This window comes from Homo sapiens, chromosome 10, assembly GCF_000001405.40.
Source record: "Homo sapiens chromosome 10, GRCh38.p14 Primary Assembly".
Classification (NCBI taxonomy): domain Eukaryota; kingdom Metazoa; phylum Chordata; class Mammalia; order Primates; family Hominidae; genus Homo; species Homo sapiens.
Genome location: NC_000010.11, coordinates 110,606,049 through 110,621,645, shown reverse-complemented (window position 1 = coordinate 110,621,645; position 15,597 = coordinate 110,606,049). Strand labels below are relative to the sequence as shown.

At 45.5% G+C, this 15,597-nt stretch overlaps 3 annotated features.

The window, feature by feature from the left end:
- Positions 7,170 to 7,219: an enhancer, noted in NCBI's record as "active region_4040". NCBI's record gives its function as "activates an Ori minimal core promoter by ATAC-STARR-seq in GM12878 lymphoblastoid cells {active_cell/tissue: GM12878}" and the evidence as "EXISTENCE:reporter gene assay evidence [ECO:0000049][PMID:35858748]".
- Positions 9,128 to 9,277: an enhancer, noted in NCBI's record as "active region_4039". NCBI's record gives its function as "activates an Ori minimal core promoter by ATAC-STARR-seq in GM12878 lymphoblastoid cells {active_cell/tissue: GM12878}" and the evidence as "EXISTENCE:reporter gene assay evidence [ECO:0000049][PMID:35858748]".
- Positions 9,452 to 10,389: an enhancer, noted in NCBI's record as "NANOG-H3K27ac hESC enhancer chr10:112371015-112371952 (GRCh37/hg19 assembly coordinates)". NCBI's record gives its function as "activates a minimal SCP1, AML or CMV promoter by ChIP-STARR-seq in naive H9 embryonic stem cells {active_cell/tissue: H9 hESC(naive)}" and the evidence as "EXISTENCE:reporter gene assay evidence [ECO:0000049][PMID:30033119]".

Genomic DNA, 15,597 nt, shown 5'->3' with positions numbered 1-15,597 from the left:
TGTATTATTCCATATATTTGAATTTCTAGAAATGAAAAATCTCATTTATGTTGACAAAAAGCAGATAAATGGTTTACTGGGACCAAGGGGACTGACTACAAAGGGGCATGAGAAACCTTTTTGGGGGTGGTAAAAATGTGCTAATTTATCTGAGGTATGTAACTATGAGTAGAATTACTAATCATAGCGTGGTTGTATGTTCTGGTTTATGGACCATCAGACCTTTTCCCAAAGTGGTTATACCAATGGTGGTGGTTTACACTCCCACCAGCAGTATACAAGAGTCTCAGTTGCTCTATATCCTCAACACTTGATACTGTGAGTCTTTTTAATTTTAGCCACACTGGTGGATATGTAGTAGTAATTTGTGATTTTAATTCACATTCTCTGAAGACTTTCCAATGTGTATTGGCTTTGGGAAATGCTTTTGAGACCTTTTGCCCATTTTGAAAATTAAAATTGAGTTATCTGTATTTTTCTGATTATATTGTAGAATTTCTTTGTATAATGTGGAATTGAGTTGTTTGCCAAATGTAAATGTCAGTATAGCTTAACTTTGTATTATTCTTTTTATAAGTGAGGATGAACATCTTTTTATTAAGAACCATTTGTATTTCTTTTTCTGAAGAGTCTTTATCCTTTGCCTATTTTTAAAATTGTTTTGGCATTATTTCATATAAATGATAGGAACTCTTTATATATTAAGAAGATTAGCCTTTTGCCTTAATATCAATGGCATGTTTTTTTCTTAGCTTGACACTTGTCTTTTAGCTTCGCTTATGGTGTACTTTTTGGCCACGCAGGGTTTTTTTCTTTTTTTTTTTAAAGAATTTATCAACCTTTTCTTTTAGATGTGTAGTCATTTTTACGTCCAATGTCCCCATTAGATACCAAAGAGAGGTGATGTCAGGCAATGTCTAGCCGCCTTGGACTGAGCCTATGGAAGGGCCTGAGCTAGTAGGGAGGGGAATAGGGGCTCAAGTCCTCTTTCTGCTACTTATGAGCTGTGGATCTTTAGGCAGGTTACTTTACCTCCCATTGGGGCAGTTTCTTTTTCTGCAAAATGGGGATATTAGGGCCCACCTTACAGAGTTGATGTAACAATTAAATGAGATATTGTACGAAAAGCACCTAACGCACAGCTAGCACAGAGTATAAACACTCCATACAAGGTACTTCTCTCTCTCTAAATGGGGTGTGTATGTGTGTGTGTAACAGGTGTAAATAAATGTGTGTGTGTCTGTGAGTGGGAGGAAGCAGGGCCCAGCTGTAGGATACAACACACAGTTGGCTCAATTACTCGTGGCCTCAAGATTAAAAAGCGGCTCCAAGTATTTACAGGCCCCCGGATAATTGCAAATCCCACAGCCTGGCTCCAGGCCAGAGCACTCTGCCTACACTCCCTTCCCCCACCTCCTCCACTGGTGGTCAGAACCTGGCTCCCCTACTCCCTCACTGGGATGGCCTGGCCCATAGATACCCAGAGGATCTGAGACTCCAGGGTGGTCTTGAAGGGGAGAGGCTGGGGCCTTGGTGGTCTGCTAAGCCTTCTGGAGATCCCCATCTGGACTGATTGCCTGCTCTGGGGACCTCTCCAGGCAAGGAGATCAGTGTACAGCCAGTGAGTAGAGGGGCTCCACATGGCCTGGGGCTCTCCCCCTTGACACCTTGGCTCAGCCAGACTTGCAAATCTCATTCCTCAACATACTGGAGTTCACAGAGCAAGTGGGGCTTTATGTCTCAGTGTTGCTGAGAAAGGGCCAGGAATTCCCTTTTTGTATATCCAATTCTTCCAGAGTTCTGGGAGAGCTGGCAGTTTAAAGAAGTCCTGCTGAGAATCTTCTAGGCAGACCAGGTTACCTCTTCCCTGTGGAGCTTTGTGAAGCTGTTTTTCTCTGACTTTGCTAAAGATGAGAGGTGCATAGACACCTCTGGAACCAGCTGGAAAGTTGGCATGAGGCCAGGGAGGTCTCTTTGTTTCCCCAGTAGTGCCAGTCAGCCTCACAGGGCTCTGGTGCTAGGAAAGGGCTCATGGGCAGCAAATCCATGCTCCTTCTTGTCCTACTCACTAGGGAAGTGGGCACCAAGAAGGGATATGATTTGCCTGAGGTCACTACATTAGAAGCAAATCCAGGCAGAGATCTAGAAACCAGGAGCACACTCTTTCCTCCCTTCAAGTTCCCAGCATCAGGCATAGGGTCTTTAGTGTAATGGGAGCTCAAAGTGATGGTTGGCTGGATTCAAACACCAGGTTTCCTGATGGCTGATCCAGTACTGATCTAGTTCTCTCCCAAGATGGCCCTGGAAATATTCTATGCAGAGAAATACTTTGTAAGATCCTTGTTGAGGGTAGCTGTGGTAGATTAAAGACGGCTGCAAAATCATGGCTATTCCTCCATGGAGAGGTGGGGCCAAATTCCCCTCTGCTTGAAACTAGGTTGGGCTTAGTACCTCACCTGACAAATTGAATGATGTGGAAGTGATGTTCTAGGACTTCCAAGGCTAGGTCATAAGCAGCTTAGCAGCTTCTACTTTAGCCATTAGTTAGCACTCCCTCTTGTAAACCTGAGCTTCCATGTAGGAAGTCCAGCCACGCTGAGACCGCCAGGCCAGAGAACTCACTTGCAGGCCTCTGGCTGACAGCATCTCTGAGTCCAGCCTTCTCACTTCCCCTAAACACACACCAGACACGGGAGCGATGCCGTCTTGGGCCCTCCAGTCCATCTGCCCTCTCCATCCCACTTAGGCAACCACCACTCATTAGTGAGTCCTGCCTGGATTTCCGATCTTCAAATTCATAAGATGCAATCAAATGGTGCTTGTTTTAATCTACCTGAGTTTTGGTGACGTTTGTTACACAATAATAAATAACTGTAGGAAAACTTTCCCTCTTCAGGAGCTGCTGTTGAGCCCATTCCAGAGTGAGTACATGCAAACTTACCCAGCCCCAAATATTACAAAGGTAACCTGGCTGCCAACTGGCACAAAAAGCTAAACCTAAGTCTCACATAGCGAGCACTGCACGCAAGGCACTCTGTTCACACATAATTCTCAAGCCACCTTTTTAGATAGTTTCGTGTGATGTCTCCATTTTACCAGAGAGGAAATGGAGGCAAAGGTTAACAGACTTGCCCAAGACCACACAACTAACAAGTTGCACAGCTGAGACTCAAAACCCACGCCTTTTTCCAGAGTCTATGTGTATTGTCTCCCTCGATGAGTGGGTGCTTCCTGGGGCTCTCCCCACTTAGGAAACATCATGCCTGCACAGGCTGTGTGGGTGACATGAGGGACTCTGGAGTAGACGTGAGAGTGAGAGTTCCAGTGCCCAGGAGAGCTGCCTCCAGGGTGATGAATGAGTCCAAACCCCAGGCCCAACCTCGTTCCATCCACCCAAGCCCCCTCCTCAGGCCCCTGCCACAGCTGCCACCATCACAGCCTCCTATCCAATTACAAGCCCCAGACTACCCCCCTCCCTACCTCCTCCTCCTCCTCCTTCCAGTCCACAGGAGGGCAGAGACCCATCCTTCCTGGGAACAGTGCTAAAGCTGGAGCACAAATCTGTCAAAGGCCGTGCCAGCTGCTGTCATTGCTGTGGCCCCCGCTTGCTGAGCTCATTCCCTGGGGTCCAAGGCAGCTGGTGCTGAAGAAGGACAGGAATGAGGGCCCTGCAGTGAGGATGTGTGGAATCCTGCAGTTGCCTTTGTTTAGATGTGTCAGACCACACCAGGCCTGGGCTCTGCACCTGCTGCTGGAGGAAGTCACCTCCTACCTCCCATCCAGTACATGAGCATGTACACACACACAGTGCCACCTCTACCTTCCGCTCAGGGTGCGCTCACTCTCTCTCACACACACACACACACACACACACACACAGAGTGTCTCCTCTACCTCCCACTTCAGTGTGTGCTCACACACATACACATACGTATGCTGACATAGTGTCACCTCAACCTCCCACTCAGGGTGTGTTTATACACAATACACACTCACACACACAGAGTGTCCCTTCTACCTCCCACTTCAGTGTTCAGTGTGTACTGACACACACACACATCCAGTGTCACCTCTACCACCCATTCAGCGGCCTCCCACACAGTTGGGTCAGTGTGTGGAGTGATGTGGAAGCTCCCACATAGGCCTGGTAATACTGGTCTTTCCCGCTTAGTTGGTGACTCTTTCCTAATCTATTTTTATTTTCAGAGATGGGGTCTCAGAGTCTCAGGGCCTCGCTCTGTTGCCCAGACTGGAGTGCAGTGTTGCAATCAGGGCTCACTGCAGCCTCCAACTCCTGAGCTCAAGGGATCCTCCTGCCTTAGCCTCCCGAGTAGCTGGGACTACAGGCGTGTACCACAACAGCTGGATAATTTTTTTTTAACTTTTTGTCAAGACTTTTTTCACTTTGCCCAGGCTGGTCTTGAACTCCTGGACTCAGGTGACCCTCCTGCCTCAGCCTCCTGAGTAGCTGAGATTACAAGCATAAGCCACCATGCTCGACCCTGTTCCTAATCAGTTTTCCCATCAGAAAAATTGGTTAATCAAAGCATCAAACTTACAGGTTTTTATATTTCAGGTCCTTACCAAATGATTGTTGAATAAAACCAAAGAGTCACTCCCCAAATCTATCATTCATCCCTATGGTGCAGGTCCCTAACCCCACTCCCTGTACACTTTCCCTTCCTTCCCACCATCCCACACACACATGGACCTTGACCTGAGCTGCTCCTTATCAGGCCTGCCTTCTACCCTGAGAGTCCATGAGCTGCCTTCCTCATGGCCATGCTCTGAGGCCTGAAGTGGGTGGTCAGAGGAGCTTCCTATGTTTTGGAAATGTATCTAATACTTGGAAAGACATGACAAGCTCACTGGATGTTCTTTCAAAGCCACACTAGAGCATGGTCCAACAGACCCTCTAAGGGTCATCTGACTCTCCAGGGGAAAGTAGCTTCAATTGACCCACTGTTTTCTACTGATTAGACCCAGACTCTGTAAATGAGATGTTAACTTACAGGGAAATAGAGGCTGGTAAATTGGAAGTGACTCTTGTCTGCTAGAAAAGATAAGCCCAGAGCCGGGCGCGGTGGCTCACACCTATAATCCCCGCATTTTGGGAGGCTAAGGTGGGTGGATCACGAGGTCAGGAGTTCAAGATCAGCCTGGCCAATATGGTGAAACCCCCTCTCTACTAAAAATACAAAAATTAGCTGGGTATGGTGGTGGGCACCTGTAGTCCCAGCTACTCTGGAGGCTGAGGCAGGAGAAACGCTTGACCCTGGAAGGTGGAGGTTGCAGTGAGCCAAGATTGCACCACTGACTCCAGCCTGGGTGACAGAGTGAGACTCTATCTCAAAAAAAAAAAAAAGAAAGAAAGAAAAGAAAAGATAAGCCCAAAGGTTAATGTCCTAGACAACTTTTGTCATCCTGCTGGTTCCCTCATTAATAAGTCCCTGACAAATTCTCACTATAGCCTGTATGAGAATCATGATTTCAACTTTGCAAAAATTATGCTTCAACGCTGATCTCAAGTTTCCAGAGGATGTCAGAATTGGGGTGAGAGGACCTCTGAGGGTGGAAATTGGGAGGAAGAAGGTTGAAGTCACTGTGAAGGATGACAGGCTGTAGGGTGGAGAAGAAGACTGAGCTTAAGGCAGGAAGTGCCCCTGTGTCCTGAGTAAATGGTGCTGAGGATGCTGGTGGGAATATGTGGGGTGGGGGTGTGTGGGGGAGGTGGGGGAGAGGAGCAGACAGAACTGGAAGAGGTGATGGCTAAACAACAGTGGTCAAGCAAAGTGGCCACCAAGCCAGGAGCTCATTGGTCCCTCTTCCTAAACCTGAGAGAGAAGGTGGATGAGGAAGTCTGGTCTCTATGAGAGAGTGTTTCAAAGAAAAGAAACCTCAAAAAAATTCTCATGTAGTAAAAGGAACGTTCCAGAAGTCTTGGTGATACGAGTTTTTTGAAGGAGGTGGGGGTGAATATGGAAGATGGCAGACTGCAAGGAGCAGCTCCTCAGGTCCAGGAATGAAGGCAGCAGGGTGGGAAGCCTTCTGGAAGGCAAGCTGAATCATAATGAGGCCTGTGACAGACTGACCAGACCTGGGGCTTCCTACTGGAACAGGGCCTGGTGTGGACTCAGAGATCAGGGATGCTTCAAGTCTGAGTTCTGAATGCTGGGCAGGGACCATTAGGGTTTTTCTTGGTGGGCTGGGCTAGAGGAGACAACTATGGAGTTGGTCACACTTCATGTGTGACCACAGCAGCTTTTAACAGAAGCACCCTAGAAACCACTGGTACAAGGACAGTATCAGGTGGCAAGGAGCAGCCATAAGGCCCCCCAGCAGCATATCTGCACCACCAGGGCTGTGATTACCAGCAAGTCCCACCCTCAGAGCTGCTGCTGGCACAGACTCATCAGCTGTGAGCTTCAGGTTTCTTCTAATAAGGAGGCTGATGAATCAAACTGGCTGGTTTAAAATTACTCTCCACTCAAGAAAGGAATGAGCTTAATAGCCCCAAGTAAAATGGGGCAGTAGCACATTACTGTGGCTGGTCAGGATGCAGACATTGGCTCACTCATCTCTGTAACCCCAGCCCTCCAGCTTGGGGGCCTTTCTGTCTAAAATTCTGCCAGTTTCAGAGACTCCCCTCTATACCCAGTTGCTGTGCCACTGTTTATTTACCAAAGATAAATTCCACTTTCCTCATTGGATAAAAACAAACAAAACAAAAAATCTCTGCTGCTTTCTTTTGTATAGATGCCTCAAAAAGGATGTCTCCCAGGTTCACAAACCATCCTTTCCAAAGGTCAAAATTTTAGCCCACCTAACTCCACTTTTTGAGGTCAATACATTTCCCTGGTTAGCAGGTCTCACCTGTGGCCCTCCTGGGCCCTGCCCGAGATCCAGTGTAGAATCTCCAAGGGGAGAGACTAGAAAAATCACTCTTTCAAGTGAATTTGATAATGAGGCAAGGACTGGGTAGGTTTAGATTAGAACCTCTCCAGTTTGCTAACAAGATAGTACGCTGGGTTCTGCACACATTTCTAGACAAAGTTCTGGCAAGGCTATTCCAGAATCTTACCTCACCACTAGGTTCACCCCGGGGTGGGGAGATCGGGGGCAGATGAACTGGGCTCCACAGAGTGCAGCTTCTCTCCAGCACCCATTCCTCATTTCTCTATGGGTAGAATCTAGTTAAAGAGAACCATGGTGAAGACGGCAGTCGTCTGTGGGGCAGTCTCTGAGGGGCGAAGCAGCCAGGGTATTGTGGGAGCTAGCCTACCACAGGTGGAACACTCACTCATCGCCAGAGAGGCTCCCCGTCATTGTGGACCTCTGAGGTGGACGAGGCCTGCGGTGAAGCTGGCTTCCACCACTTACAGCTGCATGGCCATGATGGGTAATAACCTCTTTAAGGTGTAGTCCACTCCTTTGGAACATGCAGAGAACAGTAATTCTTTCAGGGTTGTTGTGAGGTTTGTCTGCCACAAAGAACAGAAATTACTCAGCATAGAGCCTGACACATAGTCAGTGCTCAGTAAGTGCCAGCTACTGTATATTCGACAAACACTGGGTAAAAATAAGAAAAACAAAAACGGATAGGCATGGCCCCAGCACAGAACTTACAGAGTACAGGGTCTTAAAGGGACATTTCACTCTAAAATAATAGAAGACAATGGGTATTTGTTTTTAAAGTGACAGGAAAATAACTGGGGAAAAGCACAGGGTTGATTCAGAAATGAGTTTTTTTCTGACCCCTAGAAGCAGGGAAAAAAAAAAAAAAGAGGAAGAGAGTTCTGACCTTGCACGTTCTTTAGACCTAAGTCTGTTGGAGCTAAAATAGAGTACAGGGGCACAGAAAAGGGGTGTGTCTTACACATTGCAGAGCCTTTAGCCTTGCGGCAAATTGTTACCCCTGCACCTGCCCTAATGTGTCTGACAGCTTGGCTACCTGGAACTGTTTTGAGTTGTCAACATCCATATCCCTTCTGATATTGTTGGCTCTGTGTTCCCACCAAAATCCCATCTTGTAGTTCCCATAATCGCCACATCTCGTGGGAGGGACCAGGTGGAGATAATTGATTCATGGGGGTGGTTTTGCCCCATCCTGCTCTCGTGATAGTGAGTTAGTTCTCACGAGACCTGATGATTTTATAAGGGGCTTCCCCCGCTTCACTGGGTGCTTAGGCTCTCTTCTGCTAGCCTGTGAAGAGGTGTTTTCCACCGTGATTGTGAGTTTCTTGAGGCCTCCCCAGTCATGTGGAACTGTGAGTCAATTAAACCTCTTTTCTTTATAAATTTCCCAGTCTCAGGTATTCCCTTCATGGCAGTGTGAGAATAGACTAATACACCTCCCTACGTCAAATGTCCCAAGTGTCTCCTTAAAAACCCTCTTATGGCTGGGTGCAGTGGCTCATGCCTGTAATCCCAGAATTTTGGGAGGCCGAGGGGGGCAGATTATTTGAGGCCAGGAGTTCGAGACCAGCTTGACCTACATAGTGAAACCCCGTCTCTACTAAAATACAAAAATTAGCCGGGCATGGTGGCAGGAGGCTGTAATCCCAGCTACTTGGGAGGCTGAGGCAGGAGAATTGCTTGAACCCAGGAGGTAGAGGTTACAGTGAGCTGAGATCATGCCACTGCACTCCAACCTGGGCTACAGAGCAAGACTCTTTCTCAAACAAAAAACCCTCTTATACCTACAAACTACAAAGTGAAACACATTTAATTGGATGTGAGAACCAAAAGAGAAATGAAATGCTTGGGGGCAGAACCACAATCCTGCTCTTCAGAGTGGGCAGATGAAGCAGGGCTGGGCCAGGCTCCTGCGAGAAAGCAGAGTGCTAAGCGGCAGGGTCAGGAACAGGCACAGGGCAGTGGTAGTGTAGTGCTCGGCGTGCAACCTTTCCCAGTCCTCCCACTACCAATCCTCCACTAGTCTTTTCCTTTTCAAAACTGGGAGTAGAGACTAGGGTTGGGCCAGGTGAGAGGAGTTGAAAGTTAACTGCTAGAGAATAGCAGAATCAAAGGCACTCAGCTGGCAACTACTCTGCCAAGATGCACGTGGGGCATACAGCGCAAGAGAAGGGGCTCCTCCTCAGGTGCCATCTGAAAGAGCCTCCATCACCCAGGATCTTGTTCAAACAAAGCCTCCTGCTTTTGTGGCATGGCGTCCCAAGGCTGTGAGGATGGAGACAGCAGGAAACAATACAGCCCAGATTTGTAGACAGCTCTGAAACCATCTGGTTCAAAGGTGCTTTTTGCCCTTCCTTGTGGCTGGTCTGTCTACAAGTGTTGGCACTGGTTTCATTTTGAATTTTAAAATGGCAACTAGAGAGGTTGGTGGACTAAGATAAGCCAGGACTCTACTCTCAGTTCCACTGCTTTCCAACAGAAATTGTTAGACAAGTTACTTTGCCCTCATGAAACTTAGTTCCTCTTCTGCAAACTGGGGTTACCACCACCCACTTCAAAGTCACTGCCCTTAAGAGAGACGATAAAAGCGCACATCTGGTAGCTAGTAGGTAATTATTATGCACAAGGTGCATACATTGATATACAAAAAGAAACTATCTCTGAAAGACTGTAATCCTTCTGCCCCAAGGGATCAAGAAATTACTTGAAATCAATGAACCCCTCTTTTTCATCTACTTAGCCAAGGGCAGAAGTTAGATGAACAGACCCCCTGCCTAGAAGCATGTGCATAAGAAAAAGAAAAACTAAAAGGCAAGGATCACTGAGAAGACCTGTTTGGCACCAGCTTCAGTGGTTTCTCTTTTTTGAGGTTTCTCAGAATCTCACAAATGAGATGAGCTCTGTCCATCACAAGGCCATGCTCCACGGTCATGCCAGCATTCCCATCAGTGTCAAGGCAGATGTTGCATCTCAGAGGATGAGATTTAGCCTGCTGTGTGACCCCTGTGCTGAGGTACAGGGGCAGGGCTGTGTGTGGGCTCCCACATGCCTGCTCACCATGGGGATGAACCCTTTATTCTTAAGCAGTAGGGAAATGGGACTTCTGGAACAATCCTAAAGCACATAATAATCTCACATAACAGCCACATAATCGCAAGGCTACAGGGATTCTAATAAGATTTCTAACAAGAAAAGAAGCAAGTATTCCCTTCACTCTGTGAAAGAACATAAGAGACGCTGATTCGGAGTGTCTTGTTGGGGAGATGACTTAAAAATGATAAACTGAAAAGCAACATAGGTGAAGCTGTTTCAATTAAGGGATGCAAGGTTAGAGACAGAGCAAATGAGGAAAATTATAATAGAACAAACTCTTCTGGGTTTATATGAAGATTGAGAAAGTATAGAGGAAAAAACTGCTCTGAGGAGAAACAAGTAGGGCTACTGCAAGAAAGGACTGTGATGGCTGATATTGTCAAATTGATTGAATTGAGGAATGCAAAGAATTGTTGCTGGGTGTGTTTGTGAGGGTGTTGCCAAAGGAGATTAACATTTGAGTTAGTGGATTAGGAGAGGCAGACCCACCTTCAATCTGGGTGGGCACCATCTAATCAGCTGCCAGTGCAGCTAGAATAAAACAGGCAGATGGAAAGAGCAGACTTCCTGAGACTTCCAGTCTTCATCTTTCTCCCGTGCTGGATGCCTCCTGTCCTCTAACATTGGACTCCAAGCTCTTCAGCTTTTGAACTCTTGGACTTATACCAGTGGTTTGCCGGGGGCTCTCAGGTCTTCAGCCACAGACTGAAGGCTGCACTGTTGGCTTCCCTACTTTTGAGGTTTTGAGACTCTGACTGGTTTCCTTGCTCCTCAGCTTGCAGACAGTCTATTGCGGGACTTCACCTTGTGATCATGTGAGTCAATACTCCTTAATAAACTACCCTTCATATATACATCTATCCTATTCCGTCCCTCTAGAGAACCCTAATACAGACTGCAAATTTTGTTAACAAGATCCCATTAAACAGCTGCTGCATACCTTTCTAAGCAGCAATCCAACCTGTTGCAAGCACTAGGTACCTTGGCTAAAAGCATCCAATTACTGAGCTGCAGTTAACACGTAGCTCAAACTCTTGCAACAGAGAAATCTCAAGAATGTCACACCTTGACCATCTCATTGCTCCTGGAACTCTACTCTAAGAAACTAGAGTTTGAAAAACTAGACTGAAAAAATGGAGGGGTTGGCATGTGTCAAGGGCCCCCTCTAGTGGCTCTGGGAAAAAAGTGAAGTAATTACTGGGAGACAAAGCAGCAGCCCAATGATGAAGAAAGCCTCAGCCTTATCTACCTTTGCAGCCATCATTTCTAATTCTGAAGTGGTACGATAGATTCCTGTGTTTGAAGACCTCTCCTAGCAAAGGCCTCTGCCTCAGAAGTGTCAGGGACCTTTAGTACATTATACCTTAACTGCCTCTGTTAACTTAGTCCCAAATGATTTGCCTTAAACCCGTGTCCTTCAATTTTCTATGGTGGTGGGTTTTTTCCACCCATATGTAGTTCCATGTTTCCAGCCTTTACCGCCATCATTGTTAATTACTGAATAATTTTAGGTGTATATTTATAAAGCCAAAGCAGGACTTGTGATCACTGTACACTTTAATGTTTGATAATCAACTTTCCAGGCACTGATCTGAACACACAAGTATCCATGAGATAACATTCAAACCTTAATGTCTCTTTCCAATAATAGAGTTATACCAACCAATGTGAGGACTTGAGAGAGGAAATAAATCCATGTGCTTCTTGCAAACCTAATCGCTAGGCTGCCTCATGTCCCTGAGCAATTACTGGCTGCCACAAGGGCTCTTACACCCAGGAGACTCTGTGTCTAGGAAGGGGAGAGTGAGTGCCACATGGTGGCAGATTTATGGAGCAACGCTGGCATCTTTCATGCAGAAGACTGGCAGCCAGGAGTAATCCAGTCCCCCTAAGACACTGAGATAAGTGATCAGAGTGTACCTAAATAAGTGCAGTCTAAAGAAAATAGGAGGAGTGGGGAGGCAAAAGGCAAAGAAAACCAGAGATGGTGAATTGTGCCCTTAAAATCTGTTTCTCTGTGTCATGTGGAGGATCAATCAACACTGTACTATCTCTCTCCCATTTTCATAGTTAACTTGGGAGAAAAAAAGAGCTAATGTATTAGAGTCTGTCCTGCTTGCGAAGGAAAGCCAGGACTTGGTTCTGGCTCTGTGGGTTATTAAGCTGTGTGTGCTCATTTATTCATTTGGGTCACTTACCTAATCTGGGCTTCAGATTTCCTCGTCTATAAAATTAAGGTATTAAACTAAAAAATTTTGTATCTCTGGATCTAAATATATCCTTCAAAGTCCTAACTTAGAAAAAGTGGAGATATGAAAGCCACTTTATTTTTTTGAGATAGAGTCTCGCTCAGTCGCCCAGGCTGGAGTGCAGTGGCACAATCTCAGCTCACTGCAAGCTCTGCCTCCCGGGTTCACGCCATTCTCCTGCCTCAGCCTCCCGAGTACCTGGGACTACAGGCGCCCGCCACCAGGCCCGGCTAATTTTTTGTATTTTTAGTAGAGACAGGGTTTCCCCGTGTTAGCCAGGATGCTCTGGATCTCCTAACCTCGTGATCCACCCACCTTGGCCTCCCGAAGTGTTGGGATTACAGGCGTGAGCCAACACGCCTGGCCGAAAGCCATTTTTAAGACACGTTTTGTGAAATCTGAGCTCTTGCCAAAATAATATTCCTTCTAGAAATGTTAACCACTTTATCAAGAATTACTTAATGTGACCAAAATAAAAGCTGTAACACTTCTAGGCAATAGGCAATTGAAACAGATTCTGTTCTTACTTTTCCCGGATGAAAAGAAGAATTGTTTCTTCCAAAAGATAAAACTAAGGAAACAAGGATATCACTGTTCAATCTTCACACAAAAGGAGAGGATAATTTCCACCTAATTACATATAATTTTAAAACAAAAAAGGGCCAGCTGCAGTGACTCACACCTGTAATTCTAACACTTTGGGAAGCCAAGGATCACTTGAGGCCAGGAGTTCGAGACCAGCCTGGGCAAAGTGAGACCCCACCCCCATCTACTTAAAAAATCAGAAATCAGCCGGTGTGTTAGCACACACCTGTAATTCTAGCTACCTACTTGGGAAGGTGCCCTGAGAGGAACCCTTGAGCCCAGGAGTTGGAGATTGCAGTGAGCTATGATTGAACCACTGCACTCCAGCCCGAACGACAGAGTAAGGCCCTATCTTCTCTTTAAAAAAAAAGAGAAAAAAAAAAAAAGAAAAAAATACCAAGTAGGGAAGGAAAGATCCTCCTAACTTTTAACAGCAGGCTAACACTTTGCTGTTACCATTTAAACTGCATTAATGTGCAACTGGTTCCATTTGCACTTCCCTCCATTTAAGATAGCTGACTAAGCATAAATACACAAACCTGGATTATCAGTGTTCCAGGATAAGGAGATACGCCTAAGTAAAAAGATACAGAATGAATATTATTTCGTAAATATAACACTTTTTTTTTTTGAGACAGGGTCTTGCTCTGTTGCCAGGCTGGAGTGCAGTGGCATGATCATGGCGCATTGTAGCCTCAACCTCCCAGGCTCGTGACCCCTTCCACCTCAGCCTCCCAAGTAGCTGGGACTACAGGTGTAGCCACCAAACCCAGCTAGTTTTTAAATTTTTTGTAGAAATCGGGTCTCACTACATTGCACAGGCTGGTCTCAAACTCCTGGCTCAAATGATCATCCTGCTCCAGCTTCTAAAAATGTTGGTATTACAGGTATGAACCACTATACCTAGCAGAATTTTTAAGAAAATGATTTCTTAAATCTTTAAGACAGAACATAATCTCTGCACCTCTGTGGCAAGCACCCAACAACTGGAAGCTGTATCCTGTGTAAGACCATTTGCTGGGTGATAGTGAAATCTGAATACTGTTCACTTTACTTAAACACTGGTATTCTCCCTTTGTGGGAAGCTGAATCAAAGTACTAGTCCTTTTATTAAGAGAGTTTTGGTTTTTTTTTTGTTTTTTTTTTTTTTTGACGGAGTCTCGCTGTGTCTCCCAGGCTGGAGTGCAGTGGTGCGATCTCAGCTCACTGCAACCTCCACCGCCCAGATTCAAATGATTCTCCTGCCTCAGCCTCCCAAGCAGCTGGGACTATAGGCCCGCATCACCTCACCCGGCTAATTTTTAGTAGAAACAGGGTTTCACCATGTTGGCCAGGCTGGTCTTGAACTCTTGACCTTAAGTGATCCGCCTGCCTCAGCTTCCCAAAGTGCTGTGATTACAGGCACCGAGCCACCGCGCCTGGCCTAGATAGTTGTTAAAAGAGAAACACCTTTTAAGAATTAACTAAATATTTCCAAAGACCCGTTTGCTATTGCTTTTTTTTTTTTTTTTGAGATGGAGTCTCGCTCTGTCGCCCAGGCTGGAGGGCAGTGGCACGATCTAGGCTCACTGCAAGCTCTGCCTCCCGGGCTACCGCCATTCTCCTGCCTCAGCCTCCACAGTAGCTGGGACTACAGACGCCCACCACCACGCCCGGAGAATCTTTTGTATTTTTAGTGGAGACGGGATTTCACCAGGTTAGCCAGGATGGTCTCGATCTCCTGACCTTGTGATCCACCCACCTTGGCCTCCCAAAGTGCTGGGATTACAGGCGTGAACCACCGTGCCCGACCGGCTATTGCTTACTCTTAAAAAAGAAATCCTCCCTTTCTATTTCTCCCTTTTCTACTGATTATATTATTCACAGTAAAATTATTTCTATAAATTACATCATTTTCTAAAATTACTATTTCACTAATTTTGAGTAGACAAATCCTTAACCTACATACTAACCATTTCATATTTTACATTTTTTTCAAAAAGAGCATAAAGAGTATACAAAAATCCTTACAAATATTCACACTCTGACTTCTAGGAATCTACGCTGGGAAAATAATCCTAAATGTTGGGAGTTTTATGTATAAAAATGTTGATCTGTTTTTTAATTCATTTTTGGTACTTTAGCCAAAAGAAAACGATCTAAGCCTCCAGTGGGATATTTAAGTAAATTATGCTACTTCTACTTGACAGAATAGTATATGACTATTAAAATCTTGTTTCCAAAGCATTAAAACAGGAATATTTTATATTATTACTAAATTAAAAATCTAAGATATAAAATTATACACCTAGAATAAACATAAACCACAAAACTTTTTATGAAGATTTGAAGGAAATGCCCCAAAATATTAATATTGGCAGGCCAAAGCAGAAGATCACCTGAGCCCAGGAGTTCAAGGTTGCAGTGAGCTGTGATCCTGCCACCGCACTCCAGCGTGGGTGATGGGATGAGACCCCCCCCACCATCTCTTAAAATATATGTTCTTCAATTCCACTATGGTGAATGTAATGTATTTGTAACAGTATTAACAAAATCTCAAAGTGGAAGAATCAGTACTACTCTGAGGAAAGGACTATCCAGCCAAAGAGAAGCATAGATTTTCTTATGAATCACTGGCTAACTCCTTGGGTAAATGTCTGTCCTTCCTCTAAGTTTCTGGGTTAAGCATGCTCAGGATTGTCACATTTTTCTATTCAGTCTCATTAGAATTAATTCATGACTAAGATATCGCAAAGAATATAGGCTTTTACAAAAA